We start from the raw sequence: 23,163 nt of genomic DNA on the forward strand, positions 1-23,163 counted from the left end.
TTGGCTGTGGGTTTGTCATAGATAGCTCTTATTATTTTGAAATACGTCCCATCAATACCTAATTTATTGAGAGTTTTTAGCATGAAGGGTCGTTGAATTTTGTCAAAGGCTTTTTCTGCATCTATTGAGATAATCATGTGGTTTTTGTCTTTGGCTCTGTTTATATGCTGGATTACATTTATTGATTTGCGTATGTTGAACCAGCCTTGCATCCCAGGGATGAAGCCCACTTGATCGTGGTGGATAAGCTTTTTGATGTGCTGCTGGATTCGTTTTGCCAGTATTTTATTGAGGATTTTTGCATCAATGTTCATCAAGGATATTGGTCTAAAATTCTCTTTTTTGGTTGTGTCTCTGCCCGGCTTGGGTATCAGAATGATGCTGGCCTCATAAAATGAGTTAGGGAGGATTCCCTCTTTTTCTATTGATTGTAATAGTTTCAGAAGGAATGGTACCAGTTCCTCCTTGTACCTCTGATAGAATTCGGCTGTGAATCCATCTGGTCCTGGACTCTTTTTGTTGGTAAACTATTGATTATTGCCACAATTTCAGCTCCTGTTATTGGTCTATTCGGAGATTCAACTTCTTCCTGGTTTAGTCTTGGGAGAGTGTATGTGTCCAGGAATTTATCCATTTCTTGTAGATTTTCTAGTTTATTTGCATAGAGGTGTTTATAGTATTCTCTGATGGTAGTTTGTATTTCCGTGGGATCAGTGGTGATATCCCCTTTATCATTTTTTATTGCGTCTATTTGATTCTTCTCTCTTTTTTTCTTTATTAGTCTTGCTAGCAGTCTATCACTTTTGTTGATCCTTTCAAAAAACCAGCTCCTGGATTCATTAATTTTTTGAAGGGTTTTTTGTGTCTCTATTTCCTTCAGTTCTGCTCTGATTTTAGTTATTTCTTGCCTTCTGCTAGCTTTTGAATGTGTTTGCTCTTGCTTTTCTAGTTCTTTTAATTGTGATGTTAGGGTGTCAATTTTGGATCTTTCCTGCTTTCTCTTGTGGCATTTAGTGCTATAAATTTCCCTCTACACACTGCTTTGAATGTGTCCCAGAGATTCTGGTATGTTGTGTCTTTGTTCTCGTTGGTTTCAAAGAACATCTTTATTTCTGCCTTCATTTCGTTATGTATCCAGTAGTCATTCAGGAGCAGGTTGTTCAGTTTCCATGTAGTTGAGCGGTTTTGAGTGAGATTCTTAATCCTGAGTTCTAGTTTGATTGCACTGTGGTCTGAGAGATAGTTTGTTATAATTTCTGTTCTTTTACATTTGCTGAGGAGAGCTTTATTTCCAAGTATGTGGTCAATGTTGGAATAGGTGTGGTGTGGTGCTGAAAAAAATGTATATTCTGTTGATTTGGGGTGGAGAGTTCTGTAGATGTCTATTAGGTCTGCTTGGTGCAGAGCTGAGTTCAATTCCTGGGTATCCTTGTTGACTTTCTGTCTCGTTGATCTGTCTAATGTTGACAGTGGGGTGTTAAAGTCTCCCATTATTAATGTGTGGGAGTCTAAGTCTCTTTGTAGGTCACTCAGGACTTGCTTTATGAATCTGGGTGCTCCTGTATTGGGTGCATATATATTTAGGATAGTTAGCTCTTCTTGTTGAATTGATCCCTTTACCATTATGTAATGGCCTTCTTTGTCTCTTTTGATCTTTGTTGGTTTAAAGTCTGTTTTATCAGAGACTAGGATTGCAACCCCTGCCTTTTTTTGTTTTCCATTTGCTTGGTAGATCTTCCTCCATCCTTTTATTTTGAGCCTATGTGTGTCTCTGCACGTGCGATGGGTTTCCTGAATAAAGCACACTGATGGGTCTTGACTCTTTATCCAATTTGCCAGTGTGTGTCTTTTAATTGGAGCATTTAGTCCATTTACATTTAAAGTTAATAGTGTTATGTGTGAATTTGATCCTGTCATTATGATGTTAGCTGGTGATTTTGCTCGTTAGTTGATGCAGTTTCTTCCTAGTCTCGATGGTCTTTACATTTTGGCATGATTTTGCAGCGGCTAGTACCAGTTGTTCCTTTCCATGTTTAGCACTTCCTTCAGGAGCTCTTTTAGGGCAGGCCTGCTGGTGACAAAATCTCTCAGCATTTGCTTGTCTGTAGAGTATTTTATTTCTCCTTCACTTATGAAGCTTAGTTTGGCTGGATATGAAATTCTGGGTTGAAAATTCTTTTCTTTAAGAATGCTGAATATTGGCCCCCACTCTCTTCTGGCTTGTAGGGTTTCTGCCGAGAGATCCGCTGTTAGTCTGATGGGCTTCCCTTTGAGGGTAACCCGACCTTTCTCTCTGGCTGCCCTTAACATTTTTTCCTTCATTTTAACTTTGGTGAATCTGACAATTATGTGTCTTGGAGTTGCTCTTCTCGAGGAGTATCTTTGTGGCGTTCTCTGTATTTCCTGAATCTGAACGTTGGCCTGCCTTGCTAGATTGGGGAAGTTCTCCTGCATAATATCCTGCAGAGTGTTTTCCAACTTGGTTCCATTCTCCCCATCACTTTCAGGTACACCAATCAGACGTAGATTTGGTCTTTTCACATAGTCCCATATTTCTTGGAGGCTTTGTTCGTTTCTTTTTATTCTTTTTTCTCTAAACTTCCCTTCTCGCTTCATTTCATTCATTTGATCTTCAATCACTGATACCCTTTCTTCCAGTTGATCACATCGGCTGCTGAGGCTTCTGCATTCTTCACGTAGTTCTCGAGCCTTGGTTTTCAGCTCCATCAGCTCCTTTAAGCACTTCTCTGTATTGGTTATTCTAGTTGTACATTCTTCTAAATTTTTTTCAGAGTTTTCAACTTCTTTGCCTTTGGTTTGAATGTCCTCCCATAGCTCAGAGTAATTTGATCGTCTGAAGCCTTCTTCTCTCAGCTCGTCAAAGTCCTTCTCCATCCACCTTTGTTCCATTGCTGGTGAGGAACTGCATTCCTTTGGAGGAGGAGAGGCACTGTGCGTTTTAGAGTTTCCAGTTTTTCTGTTCTGTTTTTTCCCCATCTTTGTGGTTTTATCTACTTTTGGTCTTTGATGATGGTGATGTACAGATGGGTTTTTGGTGTGGATGTCCTTTCTGTTTGTTAGTTTTCCTTCTAACAGACAGGACCCTCAGCTGCAGGTCTGTTGGAATACCCTGCCGTGTGAGGTGTCAGTGTTCCCCCTGCTGGGGGGTGACTCCCAGTTAGGCTGCTCGGGGGTCAGGGGTCAGGGACCCACTTGAGGAGGCAGTCTGCCCATTCTCAGATCTCCAGCTGCGTGCTGGGAGAACCACTGCTCTCTTCAAAGCTGTCAGACAGGGACATTTAAGTCTGCAGAGGTTACTGCTGTCTTTTTGTTTGTCTGTGCCCTGCCCCCAGAGGTGGAGCCTACAGAGGCAGGCAGGCCTCCTTGAGCTGTGGTGGGCTCCACCCAGTTCGAGCTTCCTGGCTGCTTTGTTTACCTAAGCAAGCCTGGGCAGTGGGGGCGCCTGTAATCTGTGGGCTGATTACCTCATTTCTCTACTGGGGCCCAAGATTCCTTCCCCTTCTTCTCCCTGATTGGAATAAGTTCAAAAAAATAAAATAAAAATTTTCCATGATCCCTCCACCCGCAGGTAATGACTCTAACCTTTTAGAATATTGCCTTCTAATCGTCTAGCCAAATATAGTTTGTAATAAAATTAAGAGTCCTCTAATAGCCAGTTTTATTTCTATACATTTTCAGTTGATGCCACATGGTTTAGTTTTCCCAAGCTACTTAATACTGTTCTTTAATATCAATCTTAATAATTACATAATTGTATTATAGAACTGTATCAACATTTACTCCACAATTCCTCTCTATTCAGATTTTGTCTAACATTTTGATACAACAATTCTGCTCTATAAGGATAGACTCCTTAATGAAAAAAGAATAGACTTCTTGAATTGGAATCAATTGGTCAGAGATTTTTTATTATTTCAATGTATATATTTTTATAAATGGGCCATGTTTCTATTGTAATCAGACTTAAATCCAAACTCCTCAGAATGAAGAGCAAACACCTTCTCAAACTGATTCTTATCCCCTCATCTTTTCATTTTCATCTTTAGCCACTAAAACACACACACACACCCCCCTTTCATATTGTAGCCTTGCTAAAATGCCTGCAGACATCTCAGCATGGGTCAGATGTTCATATCAAGGCTTTTGTACATATTTCTTTGACCGTTGGGATGTACTTTCCCTCTCCTGAACTTGGCCATATTCTCATCTTTTCAAGACTCAAATATCGCCTTCTCTCTGTGAAGTTTTCTCTGAGCTTCCAGGCAAAATGAGCCATCCCCCATCTACCCACCCATCCTTGATGTTCCCATTGCAACCTGTGTGTTTAATAATAATAATTATATTGATCATAATAGTAATCAAGATGAATTGAGCCCTTATCATGTGCTCAGACAGTATTCTAAGCACTTTTTGTGGATTATCCCAGCATTCATGGCTTTGTGGTTTAATGATCAGTTAGCATGTACATCTGTTCCCCCACCCCAGCCACTGGCTGTGTCAGGGAGGGGCTGCACCTTCTTTCTCTCATTACTCCCAGTAATTCAAAATGCCTGACATGAGTAAACTGCACAGCAAATATGTCAGAAATGAATATCTGAACCAATCCTCTACTCATGACTCAGCCCGTTTAGGGCTGTGTTAAAAATGACTGGAGAGCTGGGAAAAGACTACTTGGATGCTAATCCCATGGTACACTCCCTCCAGAAACCCCCAGGCAAGCTCCGCTCCTGGCGAAAAGCTGCAAAGTAAAACCATGCAAAGTCTGGATATTCTTACAAGGCAAAGGGCCTTTCTCTTCTCTCTAGAGCACTGTTGTTTATGCTGAGGCTTTTTGTTTTTGTTTGTTTGTTTGACAGAGTTTCGCTCTTGTTGCCCAGGCTGAAGTGCAATGAAGCAATCTTGGCTGACTGCAACATTTGCCCCCCGGGTTCAAGCCATTCTCCTGCCTCAGCCTCCCAAGTAGCTGGGATTACAGGCATGTGCCACCACGCCCTGCTAATTTTTTGTATTTTTAGTAGAGATAGAGTTTCACCATGTTGGTCAGGCTGGTCTCAAACTCCTGACCTCAGGTGATCCACCCACCTCAGCCTCCCAAAGTGCTGGGATTACAGGAGTGAGACACCATGCCTGGCCTATGCTGAGGTTTTTATAAACATCATCTCATTTAATCCTCTCATTTCAGATCTTGGAGCCCTCTAGGAGACACAACCCTTTTCTTACAGATAGCTTGAAAAAACAGAAGCTCAACAATAGATACTGCTTATAACAAACTCAGAAGGCTGACCCTGTGTGCACTATTTGCCTACATTACCTGCCCCAAATTGTATTTAATAAGCCTCTGAACTCTATCACCGACAAACATAGTTTCTCTTGAGGAAAATGAGGCTCAAAATGATGAAGTGATCTCCCCAGGTTTGCCCCAAGAAAGCAGGAGTATCAAGAGGAGATGACAGGTTATTGGATTCTGCAAACTTCTCTGCCACTTCTTGATTTCAGCAGTTTCCCTGTGAGGCAAATCTCTTTTGAAATCTTACCTGCCTCTGTACAGGGAGGATCCAAGGCAACCCTGTATTAAACATCTGTTATGTGCCTTGTGCCATGCTGGTTTCTTTATAGACCTTATCTCCAGTCCTCAAAGATTCTCCTGCAAGCTAAGGTATTATTTTCTCCTGATTTAATGGATAAAGAAATTGAGACTCAAAGAGGTGACTTCTCCAAACTCACTCAGCTTGTAATATGGCAGAAGTTAAAATTTGGGCCTGGGAGTATTTGTATCCCAAGTCCAAGGTCTTCCCACTCTACCATGTCTTAAACTGATCCTCTGTGGAACATGAATGTGCAGATTGTGATGCCAGAAATTATTCTGTGCTCAAAGGTGTTGGTTAAGCAAAGATAAATTGCTTTATTAACTCTAATACTCATCAGAGCTCTAAATATACCAATGCCCACTGTGTATTTCCAAAAGCAGCTAGAGTATTCCCCTAAATTGTGAAATTATTAGATTGCAAATCCCTGTTTTTGGAAAGCATCATGTGGGAGTAATATGTGGAAGAAAACATTTGGGAAAAGGTTTTATCACACTTAGATTCTCATGCCTCAGAATTTAACTCCATTCTTGTTACCTGTTTGTTGATTCTCTTTACTTGTTCCTCTGAATGTATTAATATGCCCTGACGAGATCTTTGAACTCATCAGGGTTCCTCTGGTAGGTCCCTCATCTTCTAAGGTGACTCTTTTCTGATTGTGCTGCACGATGCACCTCGTTCCTCCAGCTCACCCCATGCCCACACACAGAACATAGCGTCAGACTACCCTGCATGTCTGATGCCTGCTCCCACTCTTAAATCAACTTACTGAACAGGATGCCCAGTGGAATTGGCTTAAATTAACAGCTGCCATGAACAGAATCCCCTTCATGCTTCTTGCCAAAATCTCTTTTTTCCCGGTTTGTAGGTTCCGTTCCCATTCCCCACCCTAATGGAAAAGATACTTCAAAATCCTGGCCCAAAACTTTCACTTGATTTAAAAGCACCATGGTGTTCCATCTGCAAAATTATAAGACCAGATCCATTAATATGCTCAGAGGAGATTGGCTTAAAAGAGAGAGAGTGTCTGTGAGCAAATTTAATCTAAGCCACAGCTTATTTAAAAACTGATAGGAACTAATTAAATTAATAAAATTTTATTGAACTTTAAAACAAAAATCAATTTTTTAAAAATCCCCCTTTCACTGAATTCAAACACAATGAAGTTCTTTTTAATTAAATTAGTTGGTTTTCTTTCCACTCATTCTGAACTCAAAATAGAAGTTCTAAATCTGAAGTTTTCTCTAGTCTCAAGTACATACCTTTTATTTGTCTATTTAAAATAAAGACAAAATCTTTGTGTGTAATACAGTTTCTTTACCTTTTAATGAAGCTGTTAAAATGTTTTATTTCATGACCTGTCAATCCAGGGGTGTGCCAGCCTTGGAGAGTAAGAAAGGACTGACTTGTGGCTTTTGCCAATTTCCATGATGTAAATACTCTTAGCATGGCTTATGATTTCTGATTTCAAGCTATAAGGCTGACTGATGATAGTGAACAGAAAGTTAGGATGAAATGCACACTATCTACTCTCATGATCTGGGAGAGCTGGCTCTGGCCAACTACTGTGTCTTCCTTTATAATCTGATTCCACTGGCATCATCCATCTAGTGTGCCTCATTCCCAGCTACACTTCATGAACATTTAAAAAGCATGACAAGTGCTTCTTGACAATGGCAGTGATTACTCCATTGGCTCAGAAATATACTTAGGTATAGGACATTATTAGATTCAGGAAATATCTCTAAATTCTGGTTTATCAGCAATCCACTAAATTATTATTATTTAACTTTCTATGGATTCAGAGATCTACTGTCTCTTTAGATTTTTATTTTTGTTTTTAAAATTAATGCTACAGTTGTTACAAGTCAAAGAAAATGTTAAATTCATTTTTCTTCACTCCACTATCCTTCCTATTCATAGTAAATCAAACTACTTCCCAAGTTTGTTTAATTCCATGAAAAAATGTTAGAACGTCAGTGAGTCTTCTTTTCTGGACTTGAGAAGTCATTTCTAGAAAAAATTATCCAGGAGTCCTGGCCAAGTATATAAAATCTTAACTATGCCAATCCAGAGAATAAAAAAAGGAATAAATAGAGGCAATTTAGAGGGAGCTAGGGCCCTAGCATTTTTGGAATGTTTACTGTAATTGTACTAAGGGTATTGCATGTATTATCACATCTAATCCTCAAAATGCTCTTTGGTGGCTATTATCATCTTTTATTTGTTAAGAGATTAAAATGCAATTTCATTACATGCCCATAGTCACACAACTAGTGAGCAGAGTGAGTAGGATTCAAATACAGTCATCTTTGATGGCCAAACCCATAATTTTTCCATGATGCTATATTATCCTTTAAAGGTAGCCTAAAGATTATTTCATCCAATTTGCCGAGTCTTCCCCTGGGCTTCTCTCTTCTCTCATCTTGTGACCTACTTATCTACCTTACCTTCACAGATTTGAGCAGATCTAATGCTCAAATCTCTAAAGCCCAATAGGGTAGAAAGCAGGTGCATTATGTCTCTCCACTCACCTCATCCAAAACTTTTCTGCCTCTGTGTAAGAACTGGGAAAGCTCTCCAAATAAAGAGAAGATTTTCTCTACCATAAGAGTAAAGACACATTCCAACAGATACTGCCTCTGTGTTGTTTCTCTGGGCAGCCTGGGTCTTTATCCAGAAAGCCAGCACCCAGCCTAAGAAAACTGATTTCTTCCACACTCTTCCCTCATTCATGCAGATGCCTGTGTACAAAACTTCTGAGGCCCATAGGTAAATTTACCCACAGCTCTTAGTTTTGCCCAGGTCTAGCATTTGGACACGATCAGGTTAGACTATTAAAGGACCCAGCATTTGGCAATCTTCTATAATATGCTGGGCATTTTACTTCCATAGGGTCACAATCCTATATGTAATTACCCATATGTTTTAGTCTCAGGACAAATTTTTTTCTGAGGTATCAAAGACTATACAAAAATATAAGGTAAAATAATAAGGCAAAAAGTATCTTAGGTCTCTGATCATGTCACTTCTCTGCTCAAAACCCTATAATGGAAGAGAAAAATCAAAGACCTCCCATGGCCTATATGGTAGATTTTATTTTTTATGGTGGCTGAAATAACATGCTCTATCCAATATCCTCTTCTGGAAGCTTCTTACTCCCTCAAAAAGAAAGGTCTGCGTTCCATCCTCTTGAAACTCTGTTTGACTTTGTGACTGCCTTGATCAATGGAGTATGGTAGAAATGACACTATGTGACTTTGGAGTCTAGGTCATACAAATGTCATGTACTTCTGCCTAGCTCTCTTGGGACACTCACTCTTAGAACCCAGCCACCACATTATGAGAAAGTCCAAGATGCCCAAGGAGAAGCATACAGCCTTTTCTGAGCTCCCAGCCAACAGCCAACACCACCTTACCAGTTGTGTAAAAGAGCTATCTTTAAAGCAGATTCTCCAACCCTGGCATCAAGCTTCTCCAGCTGATGCCATGTGCAGCAGCAATAACCATCCTTGCTGAGCACTGCCCAAACGTAGGATTGCTAGAAAAATAAAGAATGTTGTTTTCAGCCATAAAATTTGGGGATGATTTGTTACAGAGTAATAGATAACTAGAAGAGCCTACAAGATCTTATATGAGCTGGCTTCCTGTTAACTCTCAGATTTCCTCTCCAGTCACTCTGTACTCCTGTATTTAAAAAAACTTGGCAAACACAAGACCACCTTCAGACATGGGCTGTAAATGCCACACTAACCAGGAGGATAGTTAGGGGAAGAGCAATCCAGGCAAAATGTCATAGTCTTGAAAATCATTGCACAAACGTAGTGAGGTTCACACTTATTACGGTATTTTAAAAATATATGACATGCAGACTGAAATGTATACACATTGTAACTATACAACTTAATGAACTTTTACACACTGAACACATCCATGTAACCACCATCCAGATCAGAAATACATCAGTGATGTACTGAAACTCTTCTTATGACCTTATATAGTCAGCCAAAGGTAACCGTTATTCCAATTATTGATGACATAAATAACATTTGCTTAATTTTGAACATCATGTATATGGAATCATATCATATATCTCTTTTGTATCTGGCTTTATTCACTCAACATTATGTTTGTGAAATTCATCCATAATACAGTTTTTGCGACATAGAATTTCACTATATTAACACAACATTTATTTATTCATTCTACCACTGAGGGACACTTGACCTGCTCTCATTTTTGGTGATTACAAATAATGCTTCTATAAACACTGTTATTTGTGCGACTTCTAGTGTACATATAAATGCATTTTGTTGTATGTATATACCAGGAGTGAAACTGCTGGGTTACAGAGTATGTGTGTGTAAACTTTGGTAAAAGCTGAAAATGTTCCAAAGTGGCTGCTTCGATTTTCACTCCCACTAGCAATGCACGAGTGCTTCCATTACTCTGCAGCCTGGAGAATGCTTGTTATTGTTTCCATTTTAGCTTTTCTGGTGGATGAGTAATGATATTTTACTGTGGCTTTCGTTTGCTTATAACCATTTAAATATCATTTATTTTTATATTGCTTTGCCTTTTTATTGATTTGTGTGTATGTGTGTGATATAAATCCTTTGTTAGATGATTTCAAACATAATATCCATTTTATAGTTTATCTTTTCATTCTTTTAATGGATATTTAAAATATAAACAGAAGTCCTTAATTTTAATATTAGTTTATAATCTTGGCCTTTAGGGTTAGTGCTTTTTAAATTCAGCTTAAGGAATCTGTTTTTAACCCTAAGTTCATCAAGATTCTCACTTGTATTAACTCCTAGACATTTTAGTATTTTATATTTAGATCTACATGTGAAATTAATTTTTGTGTTTGTTTTCAGTTGAACATTTAGTTTTTGTCCATGTGGACAAAATTAATTGACTTGGCATCATTTATTGAAAAGCCCATTTTTTTCCGCTTCACTCTAGGGTCATCTATGCCATAAAGTGAGTGACACGTGCATGTTTCTGAACTCCCTGATAATAGTTTGGATATTTGTCCCTTCCAAACCTCATGTTGGAATTTAATTCCCCATGTTGGAAGTGGGGTCCCATAGGAGGTGTTTGGATCATGGGGGTGGATCCCTCATGAACAGCTTGGGGTGGTCCTGTGGTAAAGTGTGAGTTCTTGCACTATTACTTCATGGGAGATCTGGTTTTTTTAAAGGGGGTAGCACCCCTCCCCTTGCTGTCTCTTGTTTCTCTGTCTCCATGGGATCTGTACATTCTCAGTCTCCTTCCCCTCCCACCATGATTGGAAGCTTTCTGAGGGCCTCACCAAAAGTAGGCACTGGTCCCATGCTTCCTGTACAGCCTACAGATCCGTGAGCTAAATAAACGTATTTTCTTTATAAATTACCCAGCCTCAGGTATTCCTTCATAGCGACACAAGATGAACTGAGACACCCTCTTTTCTTTGCATCACTTTGTTATTCTAACCTTGCTTCAATACTACACTCATTTACTGTAGCTTTATAATGATTCTTGATATTTGATAGTGTACATATACTACTTTCTTTTCTCTTCTTCAAGATTGTCTTGGCTACTCTTAGCCCTTGAAAATTCTACACAAGTTTTAGAAGTTTGTCGATTTACTAACACATAGAAACCTGTCAATTGTTAAATAAAGACTGCATTGAACATATAGGTACCTTTGGAAATAATCAACATATTGCTATATGCCTCCATTTATTAAGTCTTCCTCAATTTATTTCAACGATATTTTATAGTTTTCTGTGTAGAAGTCTTACACATCTTTCATTAGGCTATTTCTAATAATTTAATGTGTGTGATGCTATTGTTAATGCCATCGTTGTCTTAATTTTATTTTCTAGTTATTTGCATATAGAAATACAACTGATTTTTGCACATTGACTTTGTATTTAGCAACCTTGATAAATTCGGTTCTTAGTTCTTATATTTTATTTGTAGATGCTTTTAGATTTCTACTTTTCAGTAATGTTAATGTCTGCTAACGATGGTTACATTCCTTTATTTCTTATTGTTGCATTTCTAAAATTTGTATTCCTTCACTTACTGAACCCTGTGATGCAACATTACATAGAAGTCACAATAGGGGACATTCTTGTTTTATTCTCAATTTCAATGGAATGCTTTAAATATTTCACCATTAAGTATAATTTTTGGTGTGGATTATTTGTTAGTTTGATTTTTGCAGATATCCTTTATCAGAATAATGCTTTTCCTTAGGTCAACTCAGCAAGTATTTGTGATTATGCATTATGTCCAGTCTCTGTCTTAAGCAAAATAATAATTTTATAATGAATAAGGCCAGGTGCAGTGGCTCATGCCTGTAATCCCAGCATTTTGGGGGGCTGAGGTGGGTGGATCACTTGAGGCCAGAAATTTGAGAGCAGCCTGGCCAACATGGCAAAACATTGTCTCTACAAAAAATACAAAAATTAACCAGGCATGGTGGCATGCATCTGTAATTTCAGCTACTTGGGAGGCTGAGGCATGAGAATTGCTTGAATCCAGGAGGCAGAGGTTATGGTGAGTCAAGGTTGCACCACTGCACTGCAGACTGGGCAACAGAGCAAGACTGTGTCAGAAGGAGAAGGAGAGGAAGGGGAAGTGGGAGGGGCAGGAGTAGGGGAAGGAGGAGAATTTTATAATGAATAAGACACTGTCCCCACTCTGAGGAATTTATCAGGGTGTAAAATAGACAAATAACAATAGAGATTGACAAAGGGAATCAGAAACACAACTTACTTGTTCAGGGAAGGTAGGGAAGGCTCTGAGAACACAAAGCATGATAGAAGAGGATCAAAGGATGAGAGAAATTATTTTCAAGCTAATAAGAATGACATGCAAGGGCTACTTCCTTAGAAACTATTTTCTGGGTCTTTGTGTATACATGTAGACCTTAGAGATAAAAGATTACCCTAGATTTCTGTACAACATCAAATTTGGATAAATCTAATATTCTCACATATTCCTAAAAGAATTTGTCATTGAAATAATAAAGAATCCTGTGGTAAATATTTTTAGTGAAAATTCCTGAGTTCTATATATTTGAGTTTTCTAAGAATATTATGTGAACCAAAATGCTGAGAAAGAAATTATGTTTTCCATCCCACAAGTCCATTGTTAGCTCTCTTTTCATTTCCTGCCTTATTTGCCAATAATACCACAGAAAATGAGGGGAAAAAATGGTTGTCTTACAACAGATAACACAGCAAGTGGTTTAGAAGTATTTACCTTCTGTAACCATGATATATACCAAGTGCTAAATAAACACTTGTTGATTTGGCTTGGCCTGGTTACAAGTGTAGCCTCCCAAAGAAAATAGTTTAGTCAGAATTATATTACCTTGAGCCAAAGGCTGCTGAAAGACATACAAATCAAAGACCAGGTGCATGGGATCTTTCAGTTTTAATATTCAAAACAGAAAACAAAAATGGTATCTGAGAGTAAGAATAGGTAGCATTTTAGAATTGGTTTCCCAAGAGGAGTCACTAGACTCATACATCATTTTGGTGACTGTTTTAACCAGAATGTCTCAAATAACTTTAGCTTTGCAAATAGATTACAAAGTTCTGTACATGTCTACCTTCTCCAGGAGAATCACAACCCTTCAAGTTCATCTCCAAACATCTAGCTTTATTTTGAAAGCAGAGAATGGAAGAAAAATGGATTCAGACCAGGGGTCACAAAAATTGAGGGGTTTTGGCTTGAAGTCTGGGGGTAAAGTTGGCATCCTATAAATATCACTTTGGGATTTATCATTGTAGGGCCTGCCAGCCAAACTTCTTAGGCCAGCATTTGCATCTCTTTGCCTAAGAGCTTTGTAGGTCAGAGTCCATTCTGCCCCAAGTGTTAAAGTGTTAATGCCCCCAGTTAAAGCACTCAACAATGACTGCTGGGTATCTGTGTATCTCTGTCAGGTGGGAACTCTAAGCAGAGTTCTACACTGGTTCTCAGAGTTCCTCAGTAGGAGTAAGCTTTTTACTCACAGAGGTAATTTGCTGTTTCACTTTCCCAATCGTCTATCTATTCATGTTTTCTGGGATCACCTCCTGGATAAACCATGTGCATGTTCATTTGAATTCTTGCCTCAGGGTCAGCTTCTCAGGCAACCCAAACTAACAGAGGTTGTTTTTGTTTTAAACAAAGACCATCATTACCCATCCCTCCCCACACCTCTTCTATTTAAGAAGATGGTGGCATCATCAAAAAAAAAATCACACACTCTCTGAAGGAGCTCACACATTTTGCAGTGGGGAACTTGAAGCAATTATCTGGACAAGTCAAGTCAAAGCTACTGTCAATGAGAATCGTGGCTTACTGGAGCACATGCATTGGTTTTTGCTTCACTTATTTGCATAATTGCCTAGATTCTCAGCTTAGTGTGTGTAGACCTGATGAAGAACAATTAATGATCTAACATGAGGGGGACCCATTTCTGTGGCTTCTGGCCAAGAGGGAGACATATCACTGTCAAAGACAGCCATCTGGGGAGAATCTCTCAGGGGGAGAATTTTCCCTTTCAATTAGGAGCAAACTAAAAACCATGATGAAAACTGCTTTTTATGAAATCAAGCCATGGAAATTAAACTTTCAGGAAAATAGTTTAAATTTTAGCCTTGGAGCCCTCTCTGTTGTTCCATTGGAGAATTTTCCAGAACGTGTCAGACTTTGCTATAAGCTTCTATAACAGGCTTGCTTTTGACGTTTCAGTGAATTCGGTGAATGTTTGTCTGAAGAAGTAGTGTAGCTTTGGGAAGAAAATTGCGTTTAAATTCCATGTTTATTCCTGCTATAGGGGAATCATTGTAATAAGTGAAACTCTAGTCTTAGGTTTCTGTTCAAATTAGAATATGCAATAAAATTTCAAAAAATTAGTGAATATAAGTTTTAGAACAGTTCCTTAATCTAGTGGTTGAGTACTAGAATACTAACAATGAGACTCAGTGATATTACATGAAGAGTAAAAGATCAACAAATAGCACCAAAAAGAAAATCAGCTTCTCTGTTTCTTGTTTATATTAATTGCTGGATCTCTTTGAAGAGCCAAAAATTGAATTTAAGACCTTTAGTTCTTTTAAGTCTCTCTAACCAAACTTATCAGAAAAAGATAATAACATCTTCACCCATTCGTCACTATTATTCTATTTATATATTTCTAAGATCAATCAGTACAACACTGATGAATGTGGTTTAACTAAAACGGCTCCAATATTATTTTCAATATATTCCCTTAATCTAAAAAAGCTATATTATTTTGGCTGAATTATAGGCAAAATAATATAGCTCACAGCAGAACCTGGTGGCTTCAGATGGTTAACATCAGGAATTTTTTGTTTTGTTCTGTTTCTTTGTTTTCTTTTTTCTTTCTTTCTTTCTTTTTTTTTTTTTTTTTTTTCTGAGACTGAGTCTCACTGTGTCACCCAGGCTGGGGTGCAGTGGCACAATCTTGGCTCACTGCAACTTCTGCCTCCTGGGTTCAAGTGATTCTCCTGCCTTAGCCTCCCGAGTAACTGGGATTACAGGCCTGTGCCACCATGCCTGGCTAATTTTTATATTTTTAGTAGAGACGGGTTTCACCATGTTGGCCAGGCTGGTCTCAAACTCCTGACCTTGTGATCTGCCTGCCTCAGCCTCCTAAAGTGCTGGGATTACAGGCATGAGCTACCACGCCCAGCCCCATTTCATTTGTTAAAGCACAAATCAGAACAATGAGTTAGTGTCTTCTTCCCATATGTGGAAGACTTGCTCAAACAAATCCATGTCGCTGACAAGTCGCAGCTACAAGTTTAGCTTGGGGATGACCAGGGGGAGTTGCCTCACCTGGAGTGAGGTCAGATTCAGAAAATGTTCAGACTGAATGATCCACACTGAGTTTCTTTTTGTTTCTCAATCACTGCATGCCATGTCTTTCCTTGGGGCTTTGTATCCACTTTTCTCGGTGCCTGTAACACTCGGTAGCCCGCCATCCGTCCACCACCCCCACCCACTTACTCTCATGCTGCTAGGATTCATATTTCAGGTGTTAGTTTACATGGGGTTTTCCCAGAGGAGGTTGCTCTTTATGCGCTTTTTGCACTTTTGCTATCTCCATCTTCACTCCACTTCTAATCCTTGGTTGGTTTGTCTGCCCATCTCAGCTCACGACTTATCTGCGTCCTCCCGCCCACGTGTTCTTTGACTATTCCTCCAAATTGGCCTTGGCATAGTCTCCCCTAATCTGTGCCATGGCCGACTTCTTTTTCCATGCCCTTCCATTCATAGCTTCTCCCTTATTCATGCTCCTGGGCTCCTTTCTTTTCTTTATTGCAACATTTCCAAGGTGTTTCCAGGAGCCCTTCTAACTCTGAGATTCAGGAAATCTGGATTTATATACCCACTCTGCATTTATTTATATGTGATCTAGGAAAAATAACTTCTTCTGGCTAGATCTGATCTACCACAAAAGTCCCCAAAATGGACTAAATCAGAAGTCAGCAACCATTTTTTGAAGCAGCCTGATAGTAAATGTTTTAGACTCTGCCGGGGTGGACTCCCATCTGAAGGTTCTGGGGAAGAGCATGTTTCCAGGCACATTTAGGTTGTTGGCAGTATTTAGTTCCTTGTGATATAGAATGGAGGTCTCCATTTCTTGGCTACCATCAGCGGAAGCCGCTCTCAGCTCCAAGAGGCTGTGCTCCAATCCCTCCATTGTCAAAGTCAGCAGCAGTGCATCAAATCCTTCTTGTGAGTCAAATCTTTCTAACTTCCTCTCCTGCCACCAACTGGAGAAAATTGCTAATCTTCCTATCTTCAAGTCAAAGAATTGGTAATGTTAATTACATCCGCAAAATCCCTTTTGTCATGTTAATGTAACAAAATCATGGGAGTAATAGCCAGCATATTTATATTCCTGGAGATTAGAGCAGGAAATCTTGAAGACTTGGGGAAAATATTTTTTTACAATTCTGCCTGCCACACTTAGAGTGGGCTTTGTGCATTGGCCCTTGACTTCAATCTGTTCCCTTAGACCTACAGTTATTGGCGTGGCTCTGACAACACCTTCCTCTTATTTCTGTGGCTGACATCTGTTGATTCACTACATCCCCACTAACCCTGGTGAAAAGATACCTGCCTCCACCTCCCACCTCATTCCCAGCATTCCCTTCAGGCCTCATTTACATAGAACTGGAAAGTGACGTGGGAACTTATTTCTACGTTCACCCTACTCTCCAAGCACCAAATTTTAATCCTAGTGTTTTTGTTTGTTCGTTTGTTTTCTCCCCACACCACCTCCCTGTTTTCAGGATAAGGGAGAATATCTCCCCTTCCATAGCTCTCCCAGGTCCACTCTGAATCTTAGGGGAAATCTATGCCTTCCGGGATTTCTCTACATTACTATGCCCCCTTTCTTTAAGGCTGGCTGATCCTCAAAGTCATCCCAGTTTACTCTTGGCTTCAAAAAATGCTCAGAATAATGAATCACAACAAAAATGAGTTCTCCTTGAGATGAGTCAGCTGAGACAAGAGTGGAAACTCATGAACAGAAAACCAGTCTAACTTGCTTTGCCATTCGTGGTAACTTGGTTTCCGGACATCATTGCTCCTGGAAAGAGAAATGGTGTTTGACAGGAGCCAAGGAGAATCCTTGCTGTCATGACTGAACAGAAAGATGTTTTCACAGAGGCTAAGAAACGGGGGCGGGGTGCAGGTTTGTATTATCTGGGGGTAAAACACTAGGTTCTACTGCACATCAAGCCAGAAGACAAAGCCAGGAAGATGAGAAAACCAAATTAAAATCAGTCAGAAAAGAGAATCTTCAAGGCTGAACATTACCTCCAAGAAAAATGTCCCCAAGTCAGTATCTAAGAAGGTGAATTGAAAGAGGCTTCTATGATCAAATATGAGGGAGGGGGAAATGGGTGGGAAAGAATTAAGCAAGTTTTCTGACTGCAGAATATTTCACTCTTTAAATATTTAATGGGCATCCAGAATGTCCAAAGATGGGATACAGCAGGGTCAGTGAACTTTTTCTGTAAAGGGCCAGATGGTAAATATTTTAGGCTTTGCAGGCCAAATGGTCTTTGTCGCAAGTACTCAACCCTGCCATTGCAGCAGAAAAGCAGCCACAAACAATATATAAATGAAGAGGTGTAGCTGTGTTCCAAGAAGATTTTGTTTACAAAAACAAGCAGGGGGGTAGGATTTGCCAGAATTTGACAGCCTGCAAGGATAGGATATACAACATTAACCACATTTATTGGATCACAGAATCCCTCCATTCATTCATTCATTTGTTATTTTTATGGGACAAAATTAGGAGTTCCACCAGCAAGGCATGACTCTGGTTCACTATTGTTTCATGAAGGCAAACTCGGAGAATATAAGGGAAATAATGGATATATGGGAATATAAGGGAAAATAAGGGAACTCGGAACACAGAAGACTCTCAAACAAAATTTGTTGAATAGAACACATGGAATTAAGTAGTACAACAAAAAAGTCTTTCCAGGAGAATGAAATACACTGATGAGAGTTGATATATTTGAAACAATGATTCAGAACAAGAAGCAACTATGTTTTAGAATAAAATAAAAAGGAGACTAGAAGAGAACTCAGGATGAGGAGAAAGAAGAGGAGGCAAAAAATAAGGAAAGAAATATTATCAAAAGAAGAGGGGGAGGAAAAGGAAGAAGAGAAGGAATAAAGATGAGTTTCCACCCACAAGAAAATGGCTTTCTCTGCCCCTGGCTGTGTATGAGAGCATCGGCATCAGTGTCCTGAAAGGGAAAACCTTTAATGAGGTGCTAAAAAACCCTCCTTGGCATTAATTAACAAGATCACTAGGCTGTCATAATTGCAGAAAGATAAATCATCAAGAGATATTTCTTAACAGAAATGCAGGTCATTACAAAATACTGTTTAAAGTCACATTTACATATAAAAGGATCAAATGGATGTTGTTCCACTTGGCACCCACATCCCCTCCACTCTCCACTGTGCTCCATGCACAGGAATCAGCACACAGCTCCAGGTAAGCCAGGGGCTTTGAAATCTTTACAGAGCATCCTCCCAGAGGGGCTTGATGGATGCAGAGATGTGAGAACTGAAGGAAACCTTTGCAGGCAAAATTTCAGGACTGAAACACAGTGTCTCCGCCTGATTAACTGCCATTTACGTTACTAAATGCCTGAATCCCTCACTTCACTGGGGTCTCCATGAGACCATTGGCCTTGTCTTTTTTTTTGTTTTTTCTGCATTGTGTTCTTAATGTTCAGCCTGTACTAGGACACTCAGTAGATGCATGTTAAAAGCAGTCATCAATTCTTCAGGACTCAGCTAAAAAGCTGCCTCCTTTCAGAAAGTTTCCCACATGTCCCAGTCTGGATGAAGGATCTATATCCTGAGACACTGTGGCATCCTGTGCTCTCTTGTGTGGTGGGACTTAGAGAAGTAAATTGACATGTTTACTGCAGCAATATTTACAATGGCAAAGATATGAAAGCAAGCTAAGTGCCCATCAATGGATGAATGAATAAAGAAAATGGTGCATATACACAATGGCATATTAGCCATAAAAAAGAATGAAATCTTGTCATTTTGCAGCAACATGGATAGAACTGGAGGTCATTATGTTAAGTGAAATAAGCCAGGCAAGGAAGGACAAATATCACATGTTCTCACGCTTATGTGGGAGCTAAAAAAAAAAAAAATCTCATAGAGGTAGAGAGTAGAATGGTGGTTATCAGAGACTGGGAAAGGAAGAGGGGAAAGAGGATGAAGAGCAGTTGGTTAAAGAGTACAAAAATACACTGAGAAGAAATAAATTCTAGTATTTGATGGTACAGTAGGAAAATTATAGTTAACAATAATTTATTGTCTGTTTTAAAAAACCTAGAAGGTATTTGTAGTGCTCTCAACACACACACACACACACACACACACACACACACACACGCACACAAAGATAAACATTTGAGGTAATGGATATCCCAGTTACCCTGATTTGATTATTATGCATTGTATTCAGGTATCAAAACATTATCACATGTACTCCCAAATAATATACAACTATTATATAACAATAAAAAATAAATAAAAATAAGTCATGTTGCTAATACATACCTTTGAAGTGAATGGATGTTATGGAAATGACTATGTCTGTATTCTTCCTTCCAAAAACCCACAACCCCAGTCCAATCATGAGAAAATCACCTGCCAAAACCACACTTGAGGGCCATTCTACAAAATAGCCGATGATTTCTCCTTAAGACTCTCGAAGTCATCACAAACAAAGTCAGAGAAGCTGTCACAGCCAACAGGAGCTGAAGGAGACAATGATGACTAAATGTAATGTGAGATCCTAGGTGGGAAAAGGATACTAAGAACTAAGAAAATCCAAGGAAAGTGGAGAGATCAGTGAATCATAATGTATCAATATTGATTCATCAGTTGTGACAAAGGGCCCACATTAATGCAAAATGTTAAAAACGGAAAATGAGTGCAAGGTATAGAGACGATCTGTAGTTTCCTTGCAACTTTTTCATAAATCTAAAACTACTGTAAAATAAAATGTTTAAGAAAACAAAATTGTGAACGAATAATAACAGAAAAACAAGGCCCCCATCAACACACTGGGGAGGGCTACCATTGTTTATGGTGAGAAAGGTGCCCCTTGGAGTTACGCAAACAGGCCTGGCTCATGCTGCACCACCCACACCTCTTTAACTCTAGGCCGGCTCTAAGTGAGGACCCTGGGTATGGCGCCCACTGCATCCCTCACCAATCTTTCCCAGGTATCTTTTCTGTCCCATTGATAGTAGCATTTCTATTATGGCCATTGTTGCTTGATGCTTTCCGATGGAAGCAGAGGCTCCCCAACTTTGAAGTGCTAAGAACCACCTGGGGGTTCTTGTTAGAATGAAGGTTCCTGGGTTCCCTCCAGAGATTTTGAGTCAATCTGTCTAAGGTGAGTCTAATTCATCTTTATTTTTAACAGACCTTGGAGGTGATTCTGGTTCACACATTCTGATCAACCCTGATGTAAAAGGCTAAGCCCATTATGAAGTATCATTCTTTCACTTTTGTTTCCACATTTAGCACTGTGATGCTAGGTACCATGTGCTTGGCAGAGAGTTGACACTCAATAAATATTTGATGAAAAAATGAATGTGTGCATGCATGAACTGTCAAGCTCAACCTCCTAATTTTTGTTCTATTCAAGAACTCTGACATTGGGTGTCATGCTTAGGGATCCGTCACTGTTAGGGAGCTGCAAACCATAGGGAATTAGACCAACAAACAATGCCCACCAACACCCAAGACCCTCCTGTGTGCAGATTGTGACTGAGAGCCAACATGGTGGGAAAGATTTTCTTTTCAAACGTGAGAGGGCTTCCTGCCATATGTTCTGAACCTCAGGTCATTTTGCGATTTCTTCTTTTTCTATTTTGCAGGCTCAATTAGGTGGGTTGGTTTTCTGAATCAGCAGCTCAGTCATTAGTTTGGTTGCAATTGCAGGTAGAAAACTGGAGGCACTTTTTCCCCCACAGGCAGAAAGGTGCATCTGCCATTAACTAATTGCAGGCTGACACACACCTGTTGTAGAGGCTAGACGCACGCAGACACACACCTTGATATCCAAAATGCAGTCTCTGACCTGCATGGCAGGAAAGACACAGAGGATTTACGCTCTGAAGAGGTGAGGTGTTTGGGCAGAGAAAACCTCCTCTTTCTATGGGGACTCATTCAGAGGTCATCCTTTGCGTGCCCTCAGGAGCAGAAGGACACATGGGAAGGTGGAACATTCTCTGTTCCCAGAATTCTTTTAGAATGGCCGTCATTGTTTAAGTTAGAATATTGCCGGTTAATTGTTGGCTCCCAAAGAAAAATTATGAGCAGGGGAACGGTTCTGCATGGATTTAGTGTATTTGAATAATTTAGACCCCCGCCGTTAATTTGACAGGATTGTTTTTCTCTCGCAGTAGCCTGCTGCTACAAGAATTAAAACTGTCGGGAGTAGAAGGGGCTGTGTTGGAGCTTAGTAATGAGGTTTATCAGTCAGTAAATGATTTTATACAGCAAATTAAATGGTAAATTTTGTTTGGGTGGTAAATATTTAGAGAATAAAGATATCTGGTTAATGAGGAGGGCTGGTGTTTAAAAAAAGAGAGAAGAAAAAAGGAAATGTCAACCTTTTAAATCTTGAATGTAGTTGGGATGGGTTGACAATTTGCTCACTTACAGCTCTCTCTCTCTCTCTGTTTAAATAACAGAGAATGGCTTCATTGTTTTTTATTTAAGGACCCACTGGAAATTCTTCCCACCCATCTTTGACTTGTGCCTACCACCAGAATGAGGTAATATCTCTCTCACAAGGTTCTTAAGAACAAGTAAGAAAATAGACCTATTAAAATGCTCATGGAGTAACACAGTATCTGGCCCAAGGTTCATTTTTTCTACTATGATGTGTTTTTAAACACAGATACTCCAGAGGCATGCTTGCCGTTATCATTGTCTCTCATAACATGTTAAATTTAAATTTATGTTAATTAAAATTGCATTTAAAAAATCTAGTTCCATGGTTGCATTTGCCACATTTCTGGTGTGAATAGTTACATGTGGTTAGTGGCTGCTGTGTTGGACGGCACAGATATAAACATTTCCATCACCACACGGAGATATGCCCTAGAATCTGTCTAATAACTGTGTACCTTGAGCTGGGGCACCCAGAAAACAAGGAATACCTGGGATTATTTAGTTGGTACAGAATTTTCTTCTTATCATTATTATGTATTATGTATCTGTATGTATATGAAAAAGAAACAGTATGCTATACTTTCATGTACATACATATACTTTCATATACATACAGATATTATGTATGTGTATGTATGTATACTTTGATATACATACAGATATTATGTATTTGTATGTATATGAAAAACAGTATAACTATAACTCTTATCAAATCTGTGATTTCATACATATATTTGGGACAAGGCATTTAAGTAATGTAAAGTTTTTAAAAACAAGTCAGTTTAAGAATATATTAAAGAAATAAATATTGGTTAGGATTATTTGGCAAAAATCTTAAAGTGGTATATAAAGGAATGACTAACATTTGAAAAATACAGTGTCAATGGACATCAAGGATTGGGAAACTTAAGAGGTAAAAGAAAGAAGAGGTGAAAGTTTGTGAGCATGAAAGAAACATAGTGGAGTTGAGAGGGGTAGGTAAGGATGCTACAATCAAACTTTCTCTTTTTAGTTTTTTGGAGATGGGATCTCACTTTGTGGCCCGGGCTGTAGTGCAGTGCTTATCCACAGGTGCAATCATAGCATACTACAGCCTTGAACTCCCGGGCTCAAGTGATCCTCCTGCCTGAGCCTCCCAAGTAGCTCGGGCTACAGGCTTAAATCAAACTATTTGAACCTTCCAGTTTTGCTCTGAGCTGAATCAGGCCATCATATTATCACATACTATAGCGACCTGAATCCTAAACAGTCAACACACACTCCCTAATTACAGCTCAGTTGGCATTGCCAGGAA

At 39.2% G+C, this 23,163-nt stretch overlaps 2 long non-coding RNA genes across 5 annotated transcripts in view; one reads left to right on the plus strand and one right to left on the minus strand.

The window, feature by feature from the left end:
* Nucleotides 1-21,382, minus strand: part of LOC105371358 (uncharacterized) — a 29,716-nt gene extending 8,334 nt beyond the window's left edge. The window contains exons 1-3 of one of the 3 annotated variants that reach the window (XR_933777.4): nucleotides 21,244-21,382; nucleotides 19,737-19,936; nucleotides 9,026-9,147 (exon numbers count right to left, since the gene is read on the minus strand). This is a non-coding gene — a long non-coding RNA (uncharacterized LOC105371358). Of the gene's footprint in view, nucleotides 1-9,025; nucleotides 9,148-19,736; nucleotides 19,937-20,394; nucleotides 20,613-21,243 lie in introns of those variants that run through there. The other 2 variants (XR_933776.4, XR_933779.4) reach the window with 2 other exon arrangements.
* LOC105371357 (uncharacterized) overlaps nucleotides 1-23,163 on the plus strand; it is a 117,137-nt gene that overhangs the window by 36,843 nt on the left and 57,131 nt on the right. The window lies entirely within an intron of this gene.

The sequence above is a fragment of the Homo sapiens genome, chromosome 16 (assembly GCF_000001405.40).
Source record: "Homo sapiens chromosome 16, GRCh38.p14 Primary Assembly".
Taxonomy (NCBI): domain Eukaryota; kingdom Metazoa; phylum Chordata; class Mammalia; order Primates; family Hominidae; genus Homo; species Homo sapiens.